Below are 23,276 nucleotides of genomic sequence, written 5' to 3' on the forward strand. Positions count from 1 at the left end.
TATATTCTTTTAGCAGGCACACTCAGAAGTTACCTGTACATGAATTAAGCTTACTATTAAACTAATCCAGTCCTTCAAGAGTTGTTAACCATCACAACCACCACACAAGTCTCATCTGGGCAATTTAAACCCAGTTCTGACCTTAAAAGCCTTTCCCATTCTAACAACTTTTATGAACAGGTCCAGAGAGAAGGCAGGAAGCAAAACAACGGGTTCCTCACTCAACAGGGGCAAAGATAATAAAGGATAAACTAGACTGTAGCTAAAAGATGGTCCAAGTCCTGTAGACAATGTGCTGCTGTTATGAGCCTAGCCACAAACTTGTTTTAGAACTACAGTAGATTTTTGAGACAAGTTTACAAAGGTGCCCTATATTACAAAAGGAAGTCTCTGACCGACATGGTCATACAGCTGATGCGTGTAGCTAGACCTACTACCTCCATTTTCTCAATTTTACTAGACCAAATTTTTGTCAGTTTCCATTAAATGCACCGGCTAAAATAACCACTATAAAATTTCCATTGTATTTTACTTTTCCAAAGTAAAATAATACTTTCCAATTGAAAAGTTCTTTCCAGGCTTAACCAGCATATGGCCTGGTTATATGTTGTTAAAATTAGTTCAATAACTAATTTCAAGTAATAAAATAATAATTAGATAAACAAGTAATTTCAGAGGAGAATTTGTAACAAGTATTAATAGGCAGCTTAAAGACATTTTTCAGTGGTCTGAACCGTACCTTTTTCTCAATGCCCGGAATCGTAATTACTCAAAACCACCTAGCACTTTGCTTAAAGTGACACCCCCAAACCTCAGTGCATCAGTCTGCCAGGTGCTTATTTGATGATGCAGACTTTTGGAACCTATCCAGTCCCAGTTTCTGGTGATGGGGGTCCTAGAACATATATTTGACATACCCTGCCAACTACTACTAACGGTACATTCAGTGAGAGCCACCAGTCCTCTCGTCAATCGACCAAATTATAAAAACACCTACTTAATTATTCAATTAAACTTTCTGAACATGACTTTCCTCCCTTAGAGATTCTTTTTCATTAAAAACAATTCCTGGCTGGGTTTGGTAGCTTACACCTGTAATTGCAGCATGTTAGAAGGCAAGAGGATCATACCAAGACCCTGTCTCTATAAAAAATAAAAATCTTAGCATGGTGGCACATACCTGTAGTCCCCAGCTACTCTGAAGGCTGAGGCAGGAAGATGGCTTGAGCTTAGGAGTTGAAGGCTGCAGTGAGCTATGACAGCACCACTGCATTCCAGCCTGGGTGACAGAGGGAGACCCTGGCAATCTATCTTCATTACTCATTGGCCCAGCATAAGAAGTATGGGCTTTTATTACTTTCTTTCCAACATTTGTTTCCCTGCCATCCATAAATATCCTCAATTTTCACTTGTGTATGCAGTATACAACCCAAAGCAAGGTTGGGCATGTGGCTCACGCCTGTAATCCCAGCATTTTGGGAGGCCAAGGCAGGCGGATCACGAGGTCAGGAGGTCGAGACCAGCCTGGCCAACATGGCGAAACCCTCTGTCTACTAAAAATACAAAAACTGGCCAGGTGTGGTGGAGCACACCTGTAGTCCCAGCTACTCAGGAGGCTGAGGCAGGAGAATCGCTTGAACCCAAAAGGCGGAGGTTCCCAAGAAATAAAGTAGTCAGACTGAAAAAAGCCCCAAGTTCTGAGTGCAGTTCTATAGACTAATCAGGTTGGGGGCTAAAGATTCCATTTTTAACAAACAGATTAAGTATGGTTTTAGTGAGTTTTAAACAGTACTAAATAAAAGTAAACATCATTTCTTGCAATTTTTAGAGAAAAGCAGAACACTTCAGCGATAGGGGCCTAGAGAATGGCTAAGAACCTTCAAAGTAAGAATTAACTTCTCAGCAGTAAGACACAAATTCCCAGTTACCTCTTCCAGTATTCATCACATTTTGCCCCCTCAACAGGTGTCAAATGTATACTGCTAATAAAGCAAAATTTCTACCCCCAACCAGCATTTGATGATGGACTAAAATATCTCAAGTAAGAAAAATACCTTGAGTTCTAAATTTAAACTGCAACCAGGCCAGGCGCGGTGGCTCACGCCTGTAATCCCAGCACTTTGGGAGGCTGAGGCGGGTGGATCACAAGGTCAAGAGTTCCAGACCAGCCTGGCCAACATGGTGAAACCGTGTCTCTACTAAAAATACACACAAAAAATTAGCCGGGCATGGTGGCGGGCGCCTGTAATCACAGCTACTTAGGAGGCTGAGGCAGGAGAATTGCTTGAACCCAGGAGGCAGAGGTTGCAGTGAGCTGAGACCGCACCACTGCACTCCAGCCTGGGCGACAGAGCAAGACTCCGTCTTGGAAAAACATAAACTCCAACCAACCAGAAGTTCAGTAAATTAAAACTGAGCACAATTTAAATAACTGTACATTTCCAACTGAAAAATAAAATTACCAAATATTGTTCCAAGAGCTCTTTTATGGACCATGGGAATCCAGTTTAAAAAAAAAAAAAAGAATGCAGTAAAATAATACAAAAGAAAGTGCAGCTGACCCTTGAACAACCCGGGTTTGAACCGTGGGCCCACTTATCACGGGTTTTTTTTTTTTTTTTAACTCAACCAAAAACAGATCAAAAACACAGTATTCGTGGGATATAAAACCTGCACATTCGGAGGGCTGGCTTTTGGTATACTCAGGTTCTGCAGGGTCCACTGCTGAAATTTGTGGATTGTGGTTTGGGGGCGGGAGAACTGGGGGGGGGGGGGAGTGCAGTTCTGGGAACAATCTCCTGCACACACCAAGAGACAACTGTAGTTTTTGTGTATGTATTTCCAAGAACTTTAATAAACACTATCCAGTAACTTACCAAGGAAGATAGAAGCACAAAGAGAAATGAATGTGTGTATTTTCAACTTTTAAAAAAGGTACCTAAGTCGATATGCAAATTAGGCATGATTCCTAGCACCAGGCAAGAAGTAGGGTACCTTCTATATGTTGTGCATTCAGATACTTTCAGATACTTTCCCTTTCTCTTAGGAGTTGTCTAAATCATGTCAATGTATTCTTCTAATGAGACACTGTTAATCTTTATTTTACAAAGTCCCCCCAATAATACTGTGTGCCTTCATTATGAGGTAAAACTAGAACAAAAAGTATGTCATAATTTTTTATTGATGGCATTTATCCCATGGTTTAACATGTTAATTATACTGTAATAAACATGGCTTTAATATTAAACTTTTCCTTATTATCCAAAGTCACCACAGTCCATTTTAGTAAATATAAAAATATATGCTTAATACTTTGTACAATACTGGTTTTTGGTCCAAACAAAACTGGATCAGAAAAGCCAATAAATTCAACTTTAAGAATCCCCAATTTTTTTTTTAAAGATTTCCAAATGGATTTAGGCAACTTTGAATAATGGGATTTACATAATAAAATCTGAGACAAGACTAAACAAACAACAAAAAAATCTCTAACACAAAATTCAAATTTCAAGTTCACAGATTTATGTTATGCCAAAAAGTACAGAAACAAAATTGTATTTACACAAGTTTCATAATAAAATAATGAAAAAGGCAAGACAGGTGATAGGAGAATGAAAATATAGAAATAGCATATAATTATTAAATGGAGAGTGAACTAGATCTAACAAGTCCTTAGCACGGACCATTCTTTAATCAGGCTTCCTCTATCAGAAAAGTTTAGCGCACAATACACCCAACTCACTCACTTCACACATACACCAGCACAAACTCAGCATAGAAATCATCCGTTTCAACACTCTCTAATCTATACAGAATTCTAATCTATACAGAATTCCTCAGATATAATTACAATTTCAACGCGTTCCATGAACGCTTATCAGCGCACATAATGGTGTAGACAAAGAGGTTCTATACAAAGCCATTCACCGTGCAGGCTCCATTCCTGGGTACAGCCAGACTATGTCAAATCAGTGAATAATCTGCTGGATCATAAAATATTTTTGCTGAAGAATCAGTCACCAGTCTAGCTATTTATTTATTTAAAAAAGGGTGGGTGAGGCAGGGTGGGGCTTCTGTAACGAAAGAGAAAGGAGGAAAATTCCAAAATTAAAGAAGTCCTTAGGCAGATCTGACTTCAGATAACCCCAGCACAAAGTACAATCCAGTATCTGAAAGCAGGGCACCAGCTGTTGTTAAAATTGAGTACAACACCAATGTGACCTTTATTTCCTGCGTCTAACAGCAGTCTTTATCTTGCGACCAGAGAATGAAGTTCCAGAAGAAGAGAACACATTTTTCCCATTTGACCTGTGAAAAATAAAAACTTCATAATGTGACATGATGCTCTGAGCAAAATTTCCAAATGCTAACATTTACCATGAGCAGCACAAGGGTAAGGGGGGTCGGGTGGGGGGGGAGTAGACTCACATTGGTATATACATTTTCTGCTACACCTAACACACACGCTACTGTTATTTTTTTCTCAAACTGTAATATAATCCTCCAGAATTATAGTATGGTAAATTTATGTTGGAGAACATATTTAATTTTACCCAAACCATACGGAATCTTGATGACTTTTAAAAACAAAACATATACATGCACATACCCTTACCAATGTAACTTCTCCATTTCAATAAAAAATTCTCTTACCCCACTGTAAATGCTGCTGGAGACTGGTTAAATGGAAAGCCCCCCGAGCCTGAAGGCTGGGCTGAGGCTGCAGGTGTGCTAGAATTTGCACCAAATGTGAACACTCCTGATGGACTGTTGTTTGTGAAGTTGAAATTTGTAGTGCTGCTGCCAAACTGGAAAGCCGAACCTGCAATAGTTAAAGCAGAAATACTTCATTAGGGCAAAATGATAGGTTTTTTTGTTTGTTTGTTTGTTTTTTGAGACGGAGTCTCGCTCTCTTGCCCAGGCTGGAGTACAGTGGCACAATCTTGGCTCACTGCAACCCTTGCCTCCTGGGTTCAAGTGATTCCCCTGCCTCAGCCTCCCCAGTAGCTGGGACTATATAGGTGCGTGCCACCATGCCTGGCTAATTTTTTGTATTTTAGTAGAGACGTGGTTTCACCATGTTGGCCAGGATGGTCTCGATCTCCTGACCTTGTGATCTGTCCACCTCGGCCTCCCAAAGTGCTGGATTACAGGCGTAAGCCACTGCACCCGGCCGCAACATGATAGGTTTTTAAATTAAAGACTCTGACCTTTACATATAAAAACATGCAAAGAATTAAAATATTCTGGTCTTTTAATCTAAAGAAAACTATTTTCTCCACTGACACATAGTACATACTTGACACCTCCAACAAATCACACAACTTACCTATGACCAAGGGGAAAAGGGCACCCTGGACTTATGGTTAAAGACAGTGAAATCAACAAATACACTTAGCTCTATCTTCTTTGAAAAGTGCATTAAAACAACAAGGGATTTTTACAAAGATATAGGTTTAGAAGCTGGAAGGCTGACTAGAGTTGATACTAAACGAGCAGTAGGGAAAGAACAGAAGCAATTGCATTTACACCAAACATACCCAAAATGTTTAGGTTCCAGATACCTATGGAAGTGAGGATGTAGTGGGAATTAAAAAAAAAAAAAAAAAAAAAGGATGGCAGAGTATGTTTAGAAGCAGATACCCAGAATCAATCCCTCCCAACACCAACACAAAGATGGTAATTATCAGTGGGTGCAGTGACTCATGCGTATAATCCTAGCACTTTGGGAGGCCAAGGCAGGTGGACTGCTTGAGCCCAGGAGTTTGAGAACAACCTAGGCAACATGGCGAGATCCTATCTCTATAAAAAATTTTTCAAAATTAGCCAGGCGTAGTGGCGTGCACCTGTAATCCCAGCTACTCAGGAGGCTGAGGTGGGAAGATCTTCTGAGCCTAGGAGGTCGAGGACGCAGTGTGCCCTGACTCTGCCACTGCCTTCCAGCCTGGGAAACAGAGTGAGACCCTATCTCAGAAGGAAAAGAAAAAAAAAGAAAAAAAAGATGGTAATTCTCCTCTTCCACCGCACCAGAACAGAAGTTTAGTGTTTTAGTCTTTGTAGAAGTGTCTGGACTGGGAGACACCACATACAGTTAAGGGCAAGAATATCATTTTGAAAACAGGAATTAAGTGTAGCTCGATATTCACAAAATACCGAGCGCTCCAGCCATCTTCCCAATCTTAGCTCCCAGAACACTGGCAAATGAAGTTCTCTGATACCCTCCATGCAGGAGACTGGATGCATCTTCTTTGGGGTATCTGACAGACTAAGTGAAAAGAATGAAGGATACTAACATCCAAACTTTCCCAAGTAAAATAATGCTAGATAAACCAGATAAATCTACAATGAAATTCAAGATCTGTAAGCCCTATCAATGTAGAAAGGATTTAAGTGGTATTTACGTGTCCTACACTCATAACAACTACAGGTAGCCAAGGAGTACCAGGCATTTGAGGACAGTATTTAATAAGAAACACTGAGACAAAAATAATAAAAGCAATTTTGGGAAAACTGACTCAGCAAAGAAACAAAATTTTAAGGAGAAAAATCTGAACTCCATATCTTTAATGAATACTTCATCCACTGGAGAGTTGGGTGGGGGGGAACCCAGAGGGGCATAAAAAGGAAACATCCAGAAAATAAAAAAGAATACTTAGAAATTAAAGAAATAGTGGAAGTTAAAATCTCTCTTTTTTTTTTTTTTTTTTTTAAAGATGGAGTCTGGCTCTGTTGCCCAGGCTGGAGTGCAGTGGCACGGTCTCAGCTCACTGCAAGCTCCACCTCCCGAGTTCACGCCATTCTCCTGCCTCAGTCTCCTGAGTAGCTGGGACTACAGGCGCCCGCCACCACGCCTGGCTAATTTTTTGTATTTCTTAGTAGAGATGGGGTTTCACCGTGTTAGCCAGGATGGTCTCGATATCCTGACCTCGTGATCTGCCCGCCTTGGCCTCCCAAAGTGCTGGGATTACAGGCGTGAGCCACTGCGCCCAGCAGAAGTTAAAATCTCAACAGAATGGTAATGAAAGATAAATCTGAGAAAGTATGACACAAAGACAAAAGGTAAGAAGGAAAGGAAGGATTAGGGGACAAAATCTTCAAATAAATAATTCAGGAAAATTCCCCAAAATGGAAGTTCACAAAAGAGCATGCTGCACTCCCTACACAAACGATAAAAACAAACCCACATCAAGACACATCCTGATGTATCAGAACAATGGAGGCAAAAGAGGAGAGTCTAACAATTCCAGAAAGAAGAAACAGGCCAAAGAGCAAAGATCAAGACTTCAGGCAACTCTGGAAGCCAGAAAAGTCTACAATGGAGAAATGCTTTCAAAATTATAAAAATGATTTCCAATCTACATCTATATTCAATCAAAATCTTACCAAACATGGGGAGAGAATAAAGATCCCTGCAGAGATGTATGGCCTCAATGTTTTCCATCCCTGAACCCTCAAGAATCACTGGAAGATGTGCTGTATCAGAAAATAGGGGAGTAACAGGAAAGACATGACACCCAGGAAACGGGTTCCTCTACGAAGCTAAAAGGAATCTCCAAAAGAATGGTAAAAAGAGGTTTCCCAAGAGCACAGTTAAACAGCAAGCCAAGAAAGCCTGGTAGGAGGAACAGGTTAAAAGACCCTGTGAGAAAAGTTCTTTCAGTGCTTACTTCAGCAGCACATACCCAAAACTTGAACAAAGAAGATTAGCATGGCCCCCTGCACAAGGATGACACCCAAATTTGTGAAGTGTTCTATATTTTTAAACTAAAAACTGATGAAAGAAATTAAAGAGAACACAAACAAATGTAAAGACATCCTATATTCATGGATCAGAAGAACTATTATTGTTAAAATGGCCATACTACTCAAAGCAATCTATGGATTCAATGCAATCCCTACCAAAAATACCAATGACATTCTCCATAGAAATAGAAACATATCCGGCCAGGCGCTGTGGCTCACACCTATAATCCTAGCAGTTTGGGAGGCCGAGGCGGGCAGATCACCTGAGGTCAGGAGTTCGAGACCAGCGTGGCCAACATGGCAAAACCCCGTCTCTACTAAAAATACAAAAATTAGCCAAGTGTGGTGGCACGCGCCTGTAATCCCAGCTACCCAGGAAGCTGAGGCAGGAGAATTGCTGGAACCTGGGAGGCAGAGGCTGCAGTGAGCCAAGATTGCACCATTATACTCCAGCCTGGGCAACAGAGCAAGACACCATCAAAAAAAAAAAAAAAAAAAAAAAAAAGGAAGGGAGGGAGGAACAAATCCTAAAATTCATATGGAACCACAGGAGTCCAAATAGCTAAAGCAATCCTGAGCAAAAAGAAAAAAGCTGAGGTATCATACTATCTGACTTCAAAATATACTACACAAAGCTATACTTACCATATATAGCTATATGAGACTGGTATAAAAAGACACATAGACCAATGGAATAGAATAGAGAATTCAGAAACAAATCCACGTATTTACAGCCAACTGATTTTCGACAATGATGACAAGAACACGCATTGGGAAAAGGATACTCTCTTCAGTAAATGGTGCTTGGAAAACTGGAGATCCATATGCAGTATGAAACTAGACCCCTACTTCTCACCCTATACAAAAATCAACTCAAAATGGATTAGACTTAAGTGTAAGACATGAGACCACAAAACCCCTAGAAGAAAACATAGTGAGAAATGCTCCAGGACATTGGTCTAAGCCAAGCTTGTCCAACCGAGAGGCCACATGTAGCCCAGGATGGCTCTGAATGCCGTCCAACACAAATTCATAAACTTTCTTAAAACGTGGAGATTTTTTTTCTTGGCAATTTTCTTTTTCAGTTCATCAGCTATTGTTAGTGTTAATGTATCTTGTGTTTGGCCGAAGACAATAATTCTTCCAAAGTAGCCCCTGGAAGCCAAAAGATAGGACCCCCCTGGCCTAGGCAAAGATTTTATGGCTAAGACATCAAAAGCACAGGCAACAAAAACAAAAATAGACAAGAGGGACTATATTAAACTGAAAAGCTTCTGCACAGCAAAAGAAGCAATCAGGAGTGAAAAATTTGTTGAAAGGGAAAAAAAGTTTGCTAACTATTCATCCAACAGGGGACTAATATCCAGAATACACAATGAGCTCAAAGAACTCAACAGCAAAACAAAAACAACCAAATAATCCCACTGAAAAGCGGGCAAAGGATCTGAACAGACATTTCTTAAAACACAACACACAAATGGCCAATAGACCTGAAAAAATGCTCAACATCACTATCATAAGGGAAATGCAAATCAAAACCACAATGAGGTAGCATTTCACCTCTTAGAATGGCTATTAGCAAAAGGACAAAAATTAACAACTGCTGGCAAGGAAATGGAAACTTACACACTGTTGGAGTGAATGTAAATTAGTATAACCGTTATGGAAAACAGTAAGGAAGTTTCTCAAAAAATCTAAAAATAGAATCACCTTATGATCCAGCAATCCCACTACTGGCTATTTATCCAAAGGAGAGGAAATCAGTATATCAAAGAGACACCTGTACCTGATGTTTAGTGCAGCACTATTCACAACAGCCAAGATACGGAATCAATCTAAGTGTCCATCAACAGATGGATACAGAAAATGTGGTTTAATATACAATAAAATACTATTTGGTCATTAAAAGAAAATAACATCTTGTCATTTACTACAACATCTATGGCACTGAAGGACATTATGTTAGGTGAAATAAGCCAGGCACAAAGACACATATTCAATGTTCTCACTCATGTGTAGGAGCTAAAAAACAAGTTGATCTCATAAAGGTAGAGAACAAATGATGGTTCAGAGGCTTCGTTGGGGTGGTGGTAGGAAGGGAAGGTGGTTAACGAATACAAACATATAGCTAGATAGAAGGAATAAATTCTAGTATTTGAGAGCACAGTAGAGTTAACAATAATTTATTGTACATTTCAAAATAGCTAGAAGTTCTGAAATGTTCCCAACACAAAGAAATGATGAATGTTCAAGGTGATGGATATCCTAAATGCCCTAATTTATTACACATTGTATGTATGTAACAAAATAACACATCAGTTTTTAAAAATGAAAAACTTTAAAATATTTTTTTAAAGTTTTTCATTTTTATCAAAAATGCTTTTGGATTATTACTAAAACTATATTTCTATGTATGACAAAAATTAATGCTTTGTGTTTTCTGTGGGAATGACCTTCACTAGACTTTGTAGCATGGCTTTTCTTTTGTTTTGTTTTGTGTTTTTTTGGACAGTTATGCTGCTACCCAGAGTCAAGAGTTTTCTAACATCTTGGCTGGGCACAGTAGCTCACGCCTGTAATCCTAGCACTTTAGGAGGCTGAGGTGGGTGGACTGCTTGAGCTCGGGAGTTAGAGACCAGCCTGGATAACATGGCAAAACCCTGTCTCTACAAACCACGCCCCCCTCCAAAAATGAAACAGATGGGTGTAGTGGTGGTGTCTGCCTGTAGTCCCAGTTTCTTGGCAGGCTCAGGCAGGAGGATGGCTTGAGCCCAGCAGGTTGAGGCAGTAGTGAGCCGAGATTCCACCACTGTACTCCAGTTTGTGCGGCAAGGTGAGACCCTGTCTCAAAAAATTTAAAAAAGGATTTTCTAACATCTTTACTATCCAGGTCTACCTTGTTATAGAACTGAGAACCTCAACCCTAAAATGCTGTCTTTCCCCAAGTTTCAACAACAGTGTGACTCTAATTTTTAGGGCCTCTGTAGCCTTTTCTCAATTCTTTAACTGGAAGAAAGATCTCCTAAAATTGACTTTTTCTTTGTATTTAGTTTATAAAATTGATTGCTCTTTACATAAAAAAAAAATAAAGAGAGGAAGTCAATAATGTCAGAGAAACAAATTTTGTATAGGATAGAAAGTTATAGTATACCATATGGCTCAGCAATAATCAGCATTTCCATAATCAGAATCCTGATCTAACCTTACAGTGTCTCTATATTAAGCAGATAAAGGCTGGGCGTGGTGGCTCACACCTGTAATCCCAGCACTGTGGGAGGCCGAGGTGGGTGGATCATGAGGTCAGGAGATCAAGACCACCCTGGCTAACACGGTGAAACCCCATCTCTACTAAAAATATAAAAAATCAGCCAGGTGTGGTGGCACGTGCCTGTAGTCCCAGCTACTTGGGAGGCTGAGGCAGAAGAATCACTTGAACCCGGGAAGCGGAGGTTGCAGTGAGCGGAGATCAAGCCACTGCACTCCAGCATGGGCGACACAGTGAGATTCTGTCTCAAAAAAAAAAAAAAAAGACGATGACAACAGAGGAAAATGTTACCTGTGTGAAAGAAATAGAAACTTTCCAATTTCATATTAGAGGAAAAAATCCTGATCAAAATGGTTAATGTATATCAGAAAACAGGAGAAATTTTGGTATGTACATTAGCTGACAAAGTACCAATATCCAGAATACATAAAGAACCTCTACAAACTTACACGCAAAAGCCAAACTGAAAAATGGCCAAAAAAAAAAAAAAAAAAACCTTTTAAAACAATTTACACACATGAGAAATCAAATAGAACCCACATATAAGAACTCATACAATGGTGGTAGGATATGAATTGGCAGAATCCATCAGGAAAAGTTTTTATTATCTTCTAGTATAAGATATACAAACCTTTTAATTCAGCAATCCCATGCCACTGTATATACTCTAGAAAAACATACATATGTGCACCAAGGTACATATACAAGAATGTACAGAGTAGCATTTCCTAGTAGTTAAAAACAACTGAAACATATGTCAACAGTAAATAAACTGCAGTATATTCATACAATGATTTACTCTATGGCAATGACAATAAACAAACTATATGCAAAACATGGATGACCCTTACAAGCCTTAGAGCAAAACAATCACAAATCAAAAGACTGCATGCAGTAATATTCCATTTATATAAAAGCAGGCAAAACTACATTTTCTAGGGATGCATCTATTAGCCAATAAATGCAGTAATAAAACCCAAAGAACAGTGATTACCATAAAAGACAAGGCGGTGGTCATCATTAGAGTGGAGAAAGAGAGGAGTGTTTTCAAAAAGAGATACATGAGGGGCTTCCAGGTGGTTGTTATACAGCATTTGCTTCAATATTACACTGTTCACTTATATTTTACACCCCTTTCTACATAATATTATATTTCACAATTAGAAAAAAATCAACAACAATTTTAAGAAAATATAGGATTATAATACAATTTGATTAGTCATATTTAAATATGCAGTTCAAATGGAAAGGCTGGTATCATCAGTAAATAGAAAGTGTCATGAGACAACTCAGCGGGACTGCCCCAGGAGAGAGCACTGGACCTGGGGGTAACTTCCTAACGCAAATCCAATCATAAACAGGATCAGAAAATGCACTTCAAAGCTAGCCTTGCAAGCCCAAAAATTCAAAGTTGAGAAGAAATGAGAGTGAATGAATCCCATACTTAAGTCAGAGTAAAAATTAACACTTTAAAATACATTACTACCTTAAAAAAGTTACAAGTCTGTGAAACCTGCGAATGTTGTTTATATATAAATCCAACCATATTACCTCTCTATTCTGCCAAGTACAAGAGATAATTTTAAAATTAGACATATGAATGGTTTCCAAGCTCAAAGGAAAATATTTTAAGACACACAAAACCCATACAGATACTAACAGCATCACAGCACACTTACTAGAATTAGGAGTTGTTCCAGAGCCAAATGCAGACTGACTAGGTTGCTGTCCAAACACAGGGGGCTGGCTACTGCTTGACACTGTCCCAAAAGTAGGTGGTGCAGGCTGAGAACCAGTGGGAAATAATGCTGTGGAAGATGATATAGATCCAAAGCCTGGGGGATTGGGCTGGCTGGCACCTTGACTTTGTCCAAATGTTGGGGTCTGGTTAGCACCAAATGCTGGACTGGCAGATGGTGCTGAGGGTCCAGTTCCAAATACAAAGGAGGATCCTGGAGGCCCAAAGAAACACTTAAGTCACCATGGTGGCTAATGTCAGATTATCCTCAAGAAATTTCTGTAAACCCACAAGCAAATGTCAAGCTTCGTTTCAGACTCTTACCTTGCTAACCAAATTCCATCAAGACAAGTTTTAAATAATGATTGAGAATACAACGCTCTCTACCATTATTTAGTGAAACATACTAAATTCATATAAACAAAAACTGCAATTAACAACTACTCCACACCTTTACAGCCGACAATTTCTGGTAAAGGAACATATCTCAGAATAATCTCCCACCAGAAATTTAATGTGTGCAGAAATTGCCTCATGATGTGCATATATACATTGCATAATAAAGACTGATGTTTAATAAAACAACTTCCAGTGTCTGGTTACTGACAACCTAACATTTTAAAAACAAAGCTTGGGGCCAGGCACAGTGGCTCACACCTGTAATCTCAGCACTTTGAAAGGCCGAGGCGGGCAAATCATGAGGTCAGGAATTCGAGCCTGGCCAACATGGTAAAACCCCATCTCTACTAAAAATACAAAAATTAGGTGGGTGTGGTGGCGGGCACCTGTAATCCCAGCTACTCAGGAGGCTGAGGCAGGAGAATTGCTTGAACTCGGGAGAGGCAGGTTGCAGTGAGCTGAGATTGCACCACTGCACTCCAGCCTGGGTGACAGAGCAAGACTCCGTCTCGAAAGAAAACAAAAACAAAAAACAAAGCTTAGAAAAATTAAGTATTACACTCTTACCACAATTAGAAAAATTGCTCCCAAGAGGTAAATATGTTAAAGTTGAACACAGAGAGTGTACATTATTCCATACAGTGAATAATTAAAACAACCCTGGTATAGATGACCAAAAGGCATTCCCACCATTTTGTGATAACCTGCTATATGATATTCGCTAAGAACTGACACACTAATAAGTAAAGTCCATCCAATTACAATGCATTTTTTCTTTTGTAAATGTACCTGCAGAGCTAGATGTGGTTGTGGCTCCAAAGCCGAAACCAGAGGTGGTAGTATTATTACTGCTGGCTCCTGGACCAAAGACAAATGGGGTGACAGCTGTACCTGTGCTGGATGTGGTTGCTAGTTTGCTATCTTGAGAAAATAGCAAAGACTGAGAGGTGCTGGATTCAGCAGTGTTACCAAAGGCAGAGCTGCTCACAGGATTGCTGGACTGTCCAAACACAAAGGTAGCCACAGGTGGATTGGAGGAAGAGGTGGAACTACCAAATATGCCACCACCAGCAGAAGTGGCTGGTGTACTTGAACTAGAGGAACTGTTGTTCAAGAAACTAAAAACTGGCTTTGCTGCACCTTGATCTGTAAGACAGAAATTAAGAAACAAACATAAATCCTTAAGAATAGTCTCAGAAAGTACTTTTTCCTACCCTACAATTGCTAGAATTTTCCTACCCTAGAATTCGCTAGAAAATAGATTTTTTATATAGATTACTTCATCAAATGGACATCTGTTTATATTAGATTTTGACAAAGTCAAATACATTCATCTTCTTTTATAGCTTATGGATTTTAGGCCTTTCATAGGAAGGCCTTTGGCATTCAGGTTAATAAAAATACACCTCGAATCCAAATCTAACTGGATACTGTAGTTGAATAGCAAGCTTAGATAGTGGAAGACAGCTGTACTTTTATATGTTTTATTTTGCAATTTATATTACAGTATGTGGCAAAATCATAACTTCAATTTATCTAAATGGATAGCCAAGTTTCTCCACAGCATCAACTAGTACAGCCTTTGTGCACTAATTTGCAATGCTGTCTTTATCACACACTACATTTCCTAAAATGCATATACTTGTTTCCTCTACTGTTATCACTAGACTGTTTTAATTATTATAACTTTATACCATGGACTGATATTAGTAGGACAAAGCTGCCTGTGTGCCTGCCCTTCTTCCCAAAATTTCTTGTGTGGTTTCCTTTCCATGTGAATTTTAGAATAAGTTTAGCTTGTCAAGCTCTACAAAAATTCCCCTAAGAACTAAAATTATGGGAGGAGGAAGGGAATACCTTCACCCAGCAACAAGTATGCCTTTTGTGTTCTTTTAGTTATTTGGCATGTTACAAGTTCTGCTGCTTTTATAAAATACAAGTTAGAAATGTTAGGAAAAACAAATGAGACATGCTGATTTGAAGAAAAACTTTTGATTTTTATATGGTGATTCTGAATCCAGCCACCTTATTGAAGATTTTTTTCTAAACTATTCCAATAATCTCTCAGTTCCAATACCGCACACTATCCAGGGCTGGTCACAGTACACTATGGGCATTAGTATGACTTACAGAAAATGGAACATGTTGGCTTACTTTCAACCTGGCTAATGGAAGAATGGTTAAGAGTGTCTACCATAGCCTGGTGTTTTCATCATCAAATCTGATTAGACCCTATCATGTTTTTGTTGCTTTCCAAATAATATGTAATTTTAGTTTTGATTTTGTCTTTATATTTCTAAGTAAATATATAACAGACAAAAAACTGCTCATAGCTATTTGTTGAATTCCATACTTTTTAAAGGTTAATTTTGAGTGTTTCCAATTTATTATTCAAAAGTATTCATGGATATTCAACTTTTGCATTTTTTGCACATCTAAAAACATCTGTATTTTGCCTTTGTGTTGGTGTTTTTTTGTTGTTGTTGGGTTTTCTTGAGACAGAGCCTTGTTCTGTTGCCCAAGCTGGAGTGCACTGGGCCAATCTCTGCTCACTGCCACCTCCGCCTCCCAGGTTCAAGAGATTCTTGTGCTTCAGCCTCCCGACTAGTTGGGATTATAGGTGTGAGCTACGGCACCCGGATTGTCTTTATATTTAAACACATTTGGCTAGTAACAGAATTCTAGGTTCAAGAACATTTTCACTTTAAGGGCACTGTTGTTTTTAGCATGTGATGTTACAAATTAGAAGATGATGCTAATCTGATACCTGCCTATTTGTGGCAAATAGCTTTTCTCTCTGAAAGCATTTGGGGTTTTAGCTTTGGTGTCCTAAATTTCAGTGATCTTTGCCAATAGGTAATTTCCATTTTTAAGACCAATGTCTTTCTTTAGATCTAGAAAATTTTCTTCTGTCACTTCTTTGATATTTCCCCAAAACTTCTTATCTTCTAGGCCACTCCTATCCCAAAGGAACTTGTGGATCTAACTTGGATCACTCTTTGTACTGGTGCACTAAGTTTGGGGAAATTCTAGTTCACTAATCTGATTATCAGCTATGAAGTTCTTCCTGCTATTCAGCTCACAGAATGACTTTAATAGGATCCACCAACAATCATGCTTTTAACCTTTAAGGTGCTATGTCATTTTTTTCCCCAGGACTTCAGCTTTCAAAATCTCTTGTTTTCTCAGGATTAATTATATTTGTTGTCTATGTTTCTTAATGTTTGATGAGGACTGGTTATCTGTAACTATTTGTAAATAAAGGCCTTCCCATAGATTATGGTAGAAAATACTTCATAAGCTAAGAATCCTTATTTTCCAGGTAGTAGATACCAATTCTGATTATAAAAGCCCAAACAGAAGAGAAAGACACACATAAATATGCACTATATTGAGCTTTGCATTACTGCTGTATTTCTCAAAATTAGATCCACAGATGACTTCACCAGAATCATGAGGGTTTTAAAGAGCAGTTCAAACTGAAAATCCTAGGTTCCTTCCCAAAGAGTTCTGTATTTCTCAACTATGTTCAGTGTAAACCATTAATTGACTTGCTGCATCTGTCAAGGCAACTTGTAAAACGACAACTTGTAAAAAAAAAAATAATAATAATAATAATAAAAAGTTAATACTTACCAGCTGTAGTACTAGTTTGAGCTCCAAAGGCAAAAGTGGCTTTTGCTGGCTGTTCAGATTCCTTCTCAGATGGTTTTGTCATACTAAAACTAAATGTGGACTTTGAAGAATTCTCATCTTTGGTTTGCTCTGAATTCCCAAAGGAAAACACTGGTTGACACTTTGGCTCTTCATTGTCAGCTTTCTTCCCAAAAACTAGGGAAGTAGAAGTGACAGGCTCTTGCTGTTTCTCTTCTGTCCTTCCCAAAACAAACACTGAGGCAGATGGCAGAGAGGCAGGCTCCACGTTGCCAAAAGAGAATCCTCCTTTGGTGGCAGGCATTTCTTCTTTTTTAGCTTCTGATGTCTTACATGTGAAAGGAGCCACTGAAGCACTCTTGGTTTCTATGGTTCCAAGGTTGAAGCTGCTCTTGTTCTCAGAGGTCACTATGGTGTTAGCAGGAGCAGGGGTGGAGTTAATAACACCTGTACCAAAGCTAAAACCTGCAGAGGAAGATTTGGGCAGTTCCTCTTTCTTTTCTTCCTGTCCAAGATTAGATACCCCAAATTGAAATGGAGTTAAAGAAACTGGGTTGCTTAAACCAGAAGAAAGTCCAAACTTAAAATTATCATTCTTACTATCTTTTTTAACTTCTTCGGGCTTAGATTCAGATGAAACTCCAAATTTAAAATCTCCTATTGGTTTAGAAAATTTAAAGCCTTCACTCATGGGGTTTATAGACCCAGAATCGGATGACACACCTATTTTGAATCCTCCCTGATCTCCAAATTTAAAATTTCCAGTGCTTGTTAAAGTCTGAGAAGGCCCAGAAGAGGATGATGAGACACCAAATTTGAAGGATGAGGAGGCTGCTGAGTTCGAAGATGAGGAAGATGTGTCAAAGCCTACAAAAATATAAAAGACACCACATAGACACTCAATGTACTGATCCTCTCAAACAAAATGTAAACACTGTGAAAGCCAAAGAAACATAGGAGTAACTTTGAAAGGGCCTACTTTGAAGAGTATTACCAGCAGCTGTAAACATAATCCAAGGTGACCTATATTTAGTCGGTATGAGAATGATATCTCAATCCTCACAACTATCCTGACAAGCCACTTTTCATTTATCAGACTGGCTGCGATAAAGTTTGATAAAGTTTGTACTAGTGATGAGACTGGAAGTAACAGGCTACACATTGCAGGTGGGTGTATAAATGAACACAAAACTCATAGAGAGCAATCTGTCAATAGTTACCGAAAATTACAAATGCATATACCCTTTGACCTTGCAATTCTATAGCTGGAGTTTGTTTTAAAGATAAACTCATAGACATGCAAAATGCCATATGCAATCCAGGCAGCTATAAACGAAGAAGGAAGAACAAAGATGTGTCCAAGATAATCCCTGATAAAATCAAAGGGGCAGAAAGGGAGTGCGGTATACAGACTTTTCTAACAAGGTAAAAGGAAGTAAGAATATATAGGGGTATGTATGTTTGCCTTGGATGGGCATAAAGAAACTTTGAAAGATTTACAAGAAACTAACCACAGTTACATTTGGAAGTGGGAGGGAAGGTGGAAAAAGAGACAATGGAGAGAAGAGATTGAACCTTGTCACAATTTCTTGATTTTTAAATCTTGTGAATAAATGTGTTATTCACTCAAGCATTTAAAAAAGGAAGGCAACAGAAAAACAGAAGAATTACAGAGTTGAAGCAATGTTTATAAAGTTAAACATCAGACTGGGCGTGGTAGCTCACGCTTGGAATCCCAGCACTTTGGGAGGCCAAGGCGGGCAGATCACCCGAGGTCAGGAGTTCAAGACCAGCCTGGCCAACATGGCGAAACCCCATCTCTACTAAAAATACAAAAAAAATCAGCCAGGCATGGTGGTCTGTGCCTGTAGTCTCAGCTGCTTGAGAGGCTGAGGCAGGAGAATTGCTTGAGCCCGGGAGGTAGAAGTTGCAGTGAGCCAAGATTGCGCCACAGCACTCCAGCCCGGTCAACAGTGAGACTCCACTTCAAAATAAATAAAGAAAAGAAAACAGAGGAGAGCAGAGGAGACGGGAGACGAGAGGGGAGGGGAGACAAGAGGGGAGAGGGGAGGGGAGAAGGGAGGGGAGAGGGGAGAGGGGAGAGGAGAGAAGAGAGAAGACAGGAGAGAAGAGAGAGGAGAGAAGAGAAAAGAGAAGAGAGCAAGCATTATACTGACAAGATCAAAGTCTTGGTTTCATAATGCTTTTCTGCAGCTAAGGAAATCAGAAATGAAGTACTTGACCTACTGGCTCAAAACAAGGATCATTAAGAAGTACTAAGATACTTAAAAGTATGGTGATTACCACACTACAGGTAGAGAACAGTATAAAAAGGGGAGCATGAATTAACAGCTACAGAAAGAGATAAAATGAACCAGAAAGCACAAACTTCTAAAACACTTAAATGCAGTGTTTTTCAAACTGCTAGTTGTATACCATTAATCATCAATTAATTTAGCAGGCTGCAACCAGCACTTCTCTTTTAAAATAAAATAAAACAGAAAATACCAGGGAACCTTACACCTACCAGAGGCAAGTATTATTTTGCAAAACAGATTTCAATCATATAGACATATACGCTGTGCAGGTGATGGCTCACAATATAAAAGGTTTATTCCTGACTTTTGGTTTGCAATCAAGAGTTTGAAAGCTAATTACAAAGTAGATAAAGCTTGCTATTATTTTTGTTTAATTTGTATAAATTTAAGGATTACCAGTGCAATTTTGTTACATGGATATGTTGCCTGGCAGTGAAGTTTGGGCTTTTAGTATATTCATCACCCAAATAATGTACATTGTGCCCATTAATTAATTTCTCATCATCTACCCCCCATCCCATCCTCTCACCGTTCTAGGGGTCTACACTCTGTCCACTGAGTACACTTTATTTAGCTACAACTTATAAGTAAGAAGATGAAATATCTGTCTGAGTTGTTTCAAGACATTAATCCTCACACATTTTCTCCTTGCGGGCTTACTCTTTTACAGAAGACTTGAAAAATCTGGCCTCCAGACCAGGCGTGTTGGCTCACGCCTGTAATCCCAGCACTTTGGGAGGCCGAGGCGGGTGGATCACGAAGTCAGGAGATTGAGACCATCCTGGCTAACATGGTGAAACCCCCGTCTCTACTAAAAACACAAAAAATTAGCTAGGCGTGGTGGCAGGTTCCTGTAGTCCCAGCTACTCGGGAGGCTGAAGCAGGAGAATGGCATGAACCCAGGAGGCGGAGCTTGCAGTGAGCAGAGATCGGCCACTGCACTCCGGCCTGGGCGACAGAGCAAGACACCATCTCAAAAAAAACACAAAAATCTGGCCTCCAGTTAGTTTAGGATTAATTACTTTGAGGGAGTCTTCCTTTGTACTTATATAGTAAAATATTAAGAGTTCTTTTCCTGGGACCTACTTTGGGAAACCAAAGCCACAGCCTGTATCGCTTTTAATTTAGAGGTGTATTCCCAGTCAAATAAAAGTCAGTAAGTTCATCTGGGCGCGGTGGCTCACACCTGTAATCCCAGCTACTTGGGAGGCTGAGGCAGGGAATTGCTTGAACCTGGGAGGCGGAGATTGCAGTGAGCAGAGATCGCGCCCCCGTACTCCAGCCTGGGCAAAAGAACAAAACTGTCTCAAAAACAAACAAACAAACAAACAAAAAAACAAACAAACAAAAAAACAAAGAACAGTTCACCTAGGGGGCTAGCAGTTAAAAACAAAAAACAAAAACTCTCTGAGGCTCAATGACACAAGAAATTTTTTTTCCCACCTGGAGAAAAGATACCTCACTGTTGACAAGCAACTAATATGACCTTACAATATTCAGAAACAGATATAACTAAAACATCTCAGGATAATCTCATTTTATATTAATTTTCAAGAGAGAATGAGTGAACACTGAAGCTGTTCTCAAATACTTCATTTTTAAATGGCCTTACAAAAAGGCGCTTTACCATCACCTTTATTTTTATTTTTTTGGCCTTACCTTTAAACCCAGATTTTGTGCCTGGCTTTGCACTTTCACATGCCAAACATTTGGTAGAGTCTGCCTTATTCTGCACTAGGCACAATTCACAGTCCCAGCTTCCCTCGGGTTTCTTGAACTTTTCCAATCCTAGAGAGCCTCCAGAAGGCAGAGAGACAGGTACAGTGCTGCTACTTGAAGCAGGTACTGAACTTCCTAAAAAAAAAAAAAAAAACGGGGAGTGGGGGGAGATTTCATGAAAATTTTAATTTACAGTATGTCAGTATCTTAATGGCACTGCTAAGTTTAAGTGTTCAGTTTCTAATAATATTTCCTATTAAAACACAGAATGTGCCAGAAATAGACAACTGTTCATATTTACATTGTTTAAAAAAAAGAATAGACCTCTCTTTTAACCTTATAAATGATTTCTTTTAACCTTATAAATGAGCAGCTCATAATCACCTTGCTCACTGGTGAGCTCCCCCTTAACCACATGTTTGAACTGCTGTGGTTTAAGAAAAAAAATCATGCTCGCAAATTAGGGGCTCAAAGACTAAATTTTTCTTAAGAATCTTTTTCAAATTTCTTCAAAGCAGCAAGCATTCTAAGACATAAGATGTAAATTGTAGGCAATATCCTAACATATAAAATACACAGCCACAGACCATATGAATTTCAAGATTTGAAAGCATAGATCTCTGCCTCTGAATGATAGCTTTTGCACAGAAGTGCATCTACTTCACATCCACTTCACAATCTAACTTGACACCTACTACATTCCTGACATTTGTTACATGCTAGCCATTTAACAGACATTTATTAAGCATCATAATATACTTGGGTTCTGGGGACATTAAAGATGAATAAAATGTTGCTTAACTTGTAAGATGCTCATGGTCTTAAAGGGGGAAAATAAAAGCACAGTGGCACCATCACCAAGTGACAACCTAAAACAAGTGTGCAAAGAAGGAAGAAATGACTAAGAGGCAGGAAAAGGATACACAGAGGTGACAAATCTTAAGCAAAACTAGCATGTTTGTGGGAGAGGTGGCACAGGAAGAACGGCTTGGTAAGGCCCAAAATATAGTGCTGACAGTGAAGCCATTCATTCTGGTATTCCTACTTCTCTAGATGGCCTACAACTGTCGCCACCTCTTCCATAGTTACCTAACTGATCTCTACATTTTATAGGTATGTTCTCTTCCATCTTGCCAACCAAATTGCTCCCTGGGGTTCCATCTTGGCCCACTGTCCTCACAAACTCTCATTTACTCCAGTGGTTTTTAAATCCCCAAAAAACAGTTTCCTAATCTACACCTGCAATCTACACTTCTGAGCTTGTCACTGTAGTCTCTTAGTTGGTGACTCCACTGTCTTACTTGGTTAGCTTGGCTGGATACTCCTCCTCCTCTACATTTTTCTCAAATCTATTTCAATCAATTTCTGACTCTTCTACTGCTATTCTGGTTCATGAACCCCCCCCATTACTCCCACCACTAACCCATCTCTTGCTTGAGTAACAGCTTTTTTATTGAGACCTCTGATCCTGTTCCTTTGAAATCCATCTTCCTCTGAAGCAACCAGTGCCATGTAGTTTTTGTTTTTCCTTTCTGGTTGCACCTTTTTAAAAGATTAACTGTTCAAAAGCTTTATTCCTGCCACTCCCTGTAAGTTAGCGGACTTTCATTTCAGGCCATCTTGAGTGAACACACTCAACTCTACTCTCATGACTTCAAATATCAAAACTATGGATTAATGACCCCAAATCCGTATCTCCACCCAAAGGGTGTATCCAAAGGCCTTACATACATTTTTTTTTTTTTGAGACAGAGTCTCACTCTGTTGCCCAGGGTGGAGTAGAGTGGCACAATCTCAGCTCACAGCAACCTCCACCTCCCAGGTTCAAGCTATTCTCCTGCCTCTGCCTCCCAAGTAGCTGGGATTACGGGCATCCACGACCACGCCCAGCTAATTTTTGTATTTTTAGTAGAGACAGGGCTTTGCCATGTTGGCCAGGCTGGTCTCAAACTCCTGACCTCAGGTGATCTGCCTGCCTCAGCCTCACGAAGTGCTGGGATTACAGACGTGAGCCACCATGCCTGGTCACATTACATACATCTGAATGTTGACTTCAGCAGCTTGAAATCAACGTCTTTAATTTTATGTCCTCCATTCCTTATTCAGTTCGATCAGTACATTATCTATTGCCTGTATCAGCAGGGGAGGCGGGGGTGGTCCAATCTTTTGGCTTCCCTAGTCCACACTGGACAAAAAGAATTGTCTTGGACCACAAGTAAAATATACTAACACTAGCAACAGCTGATGAGCTTTAAAACAAATTAAAAAATAAAAAAAAAAAATAAATCGCAAAAGAATCTCATAATGTTTTAGAAAATTCACAAATCTGTGTTGAGCCTCATTCATAGCCATCCTAAGCCACATGCAGCCCACAGGTTGCACAGCTTGGCTTATCTTTTTTTTTTTTTTTTTTTTTTTGAGACGGAGTCTCGCTCTGTCG

The 23,276-nt window shown here is 39.4% G+C and overlaps 1 protein-coding gene and 1 pseudogene across 3 annotated transcripts in view, besides 2 other annotated features; one reads left to right on the plus strand and one right to left on the minus strand.

Moving 5' to 3' along the window:
* Positions 111-311: a silencer, noted in NCBI's record as "peak5703 fragment used in MPRA reporter construct". NCBI's record gives its function as "represses an SCP1 promoter by STARR-seq MPRAs in K562 erythroleukemia cells {active_cell/tissue: K562}" and the evidence as "EXISTENCE:reporter gene assay evidence [ECO:0000049][PMID:32103011]".
* Positions 3,164-23,276, minus strand: part of NUP153 (nucleoporin 153) — a 91,889-nt gene continuing 71,776 nt past the window's right edge. For all 3 annotated transcript variants that reach the window (NM_001278210.2, NM_005124.4, NM_001278209.2), the window contains 6 exons: positions 20,777-20,971; positions 16,782-17,666; positions 13,935-14,291; positions 12,688-12,960; positions 4,654-4,822; positions 3,164-4,308 (listed from right to left, as the gene is read on the minus strand). In NM_001278210.2, the coding sequence (NP_001265139.1) occupies positions 4,224-4,308; positions 4,654-4,822; positions 12,688-12,960; positions 13,935-14,291; positions 16,782-17,666; positions 20,777-20,971 (1,964 nt within the window). In that variant the 3' untranslated portion in view covers positions 3,164-4,223. The remainder of the gene's footprint in view (positions 4,309-4,653; positions 4,823-12,687; positions 12,961-13,934; positions 14,292-16,781; positions 17,667-20,776; positions 20,972-23,276) is intronic.
* RNU6-190P (RNA, U6 small nuclear 190, pseudogene) lies at positions 7,660-7,761 on the plus strand (annotated as a pseudogene).
* Positions 21,511-21,711: a silencer, noted in NCBI's record as "peak5705 fragment used in MPRA reporter construct". NCBI's record gives its function as "represses an SCP1 promoter by STARR-seq MPRAs in K562 erythroleukemia cells {active_cell/tissue: K562}" and the evidence as "EXISTENCE:reporter gene assay evidence [ECO:0000049][PMID:32103011]".

This window comes from Homo sapiens, chromosome 6, assembly GCF_000001405.40.
Source record: "Homo sapiens chromosome 6, GRCh38.p14 Primary Assembly".
In the NCBI taxonomy this organism is placed as follows: Eukaryota; Metazoa; Chordata; class Mammalia; order Primates; family Hominidae; genus Homo; species Homo sapiens.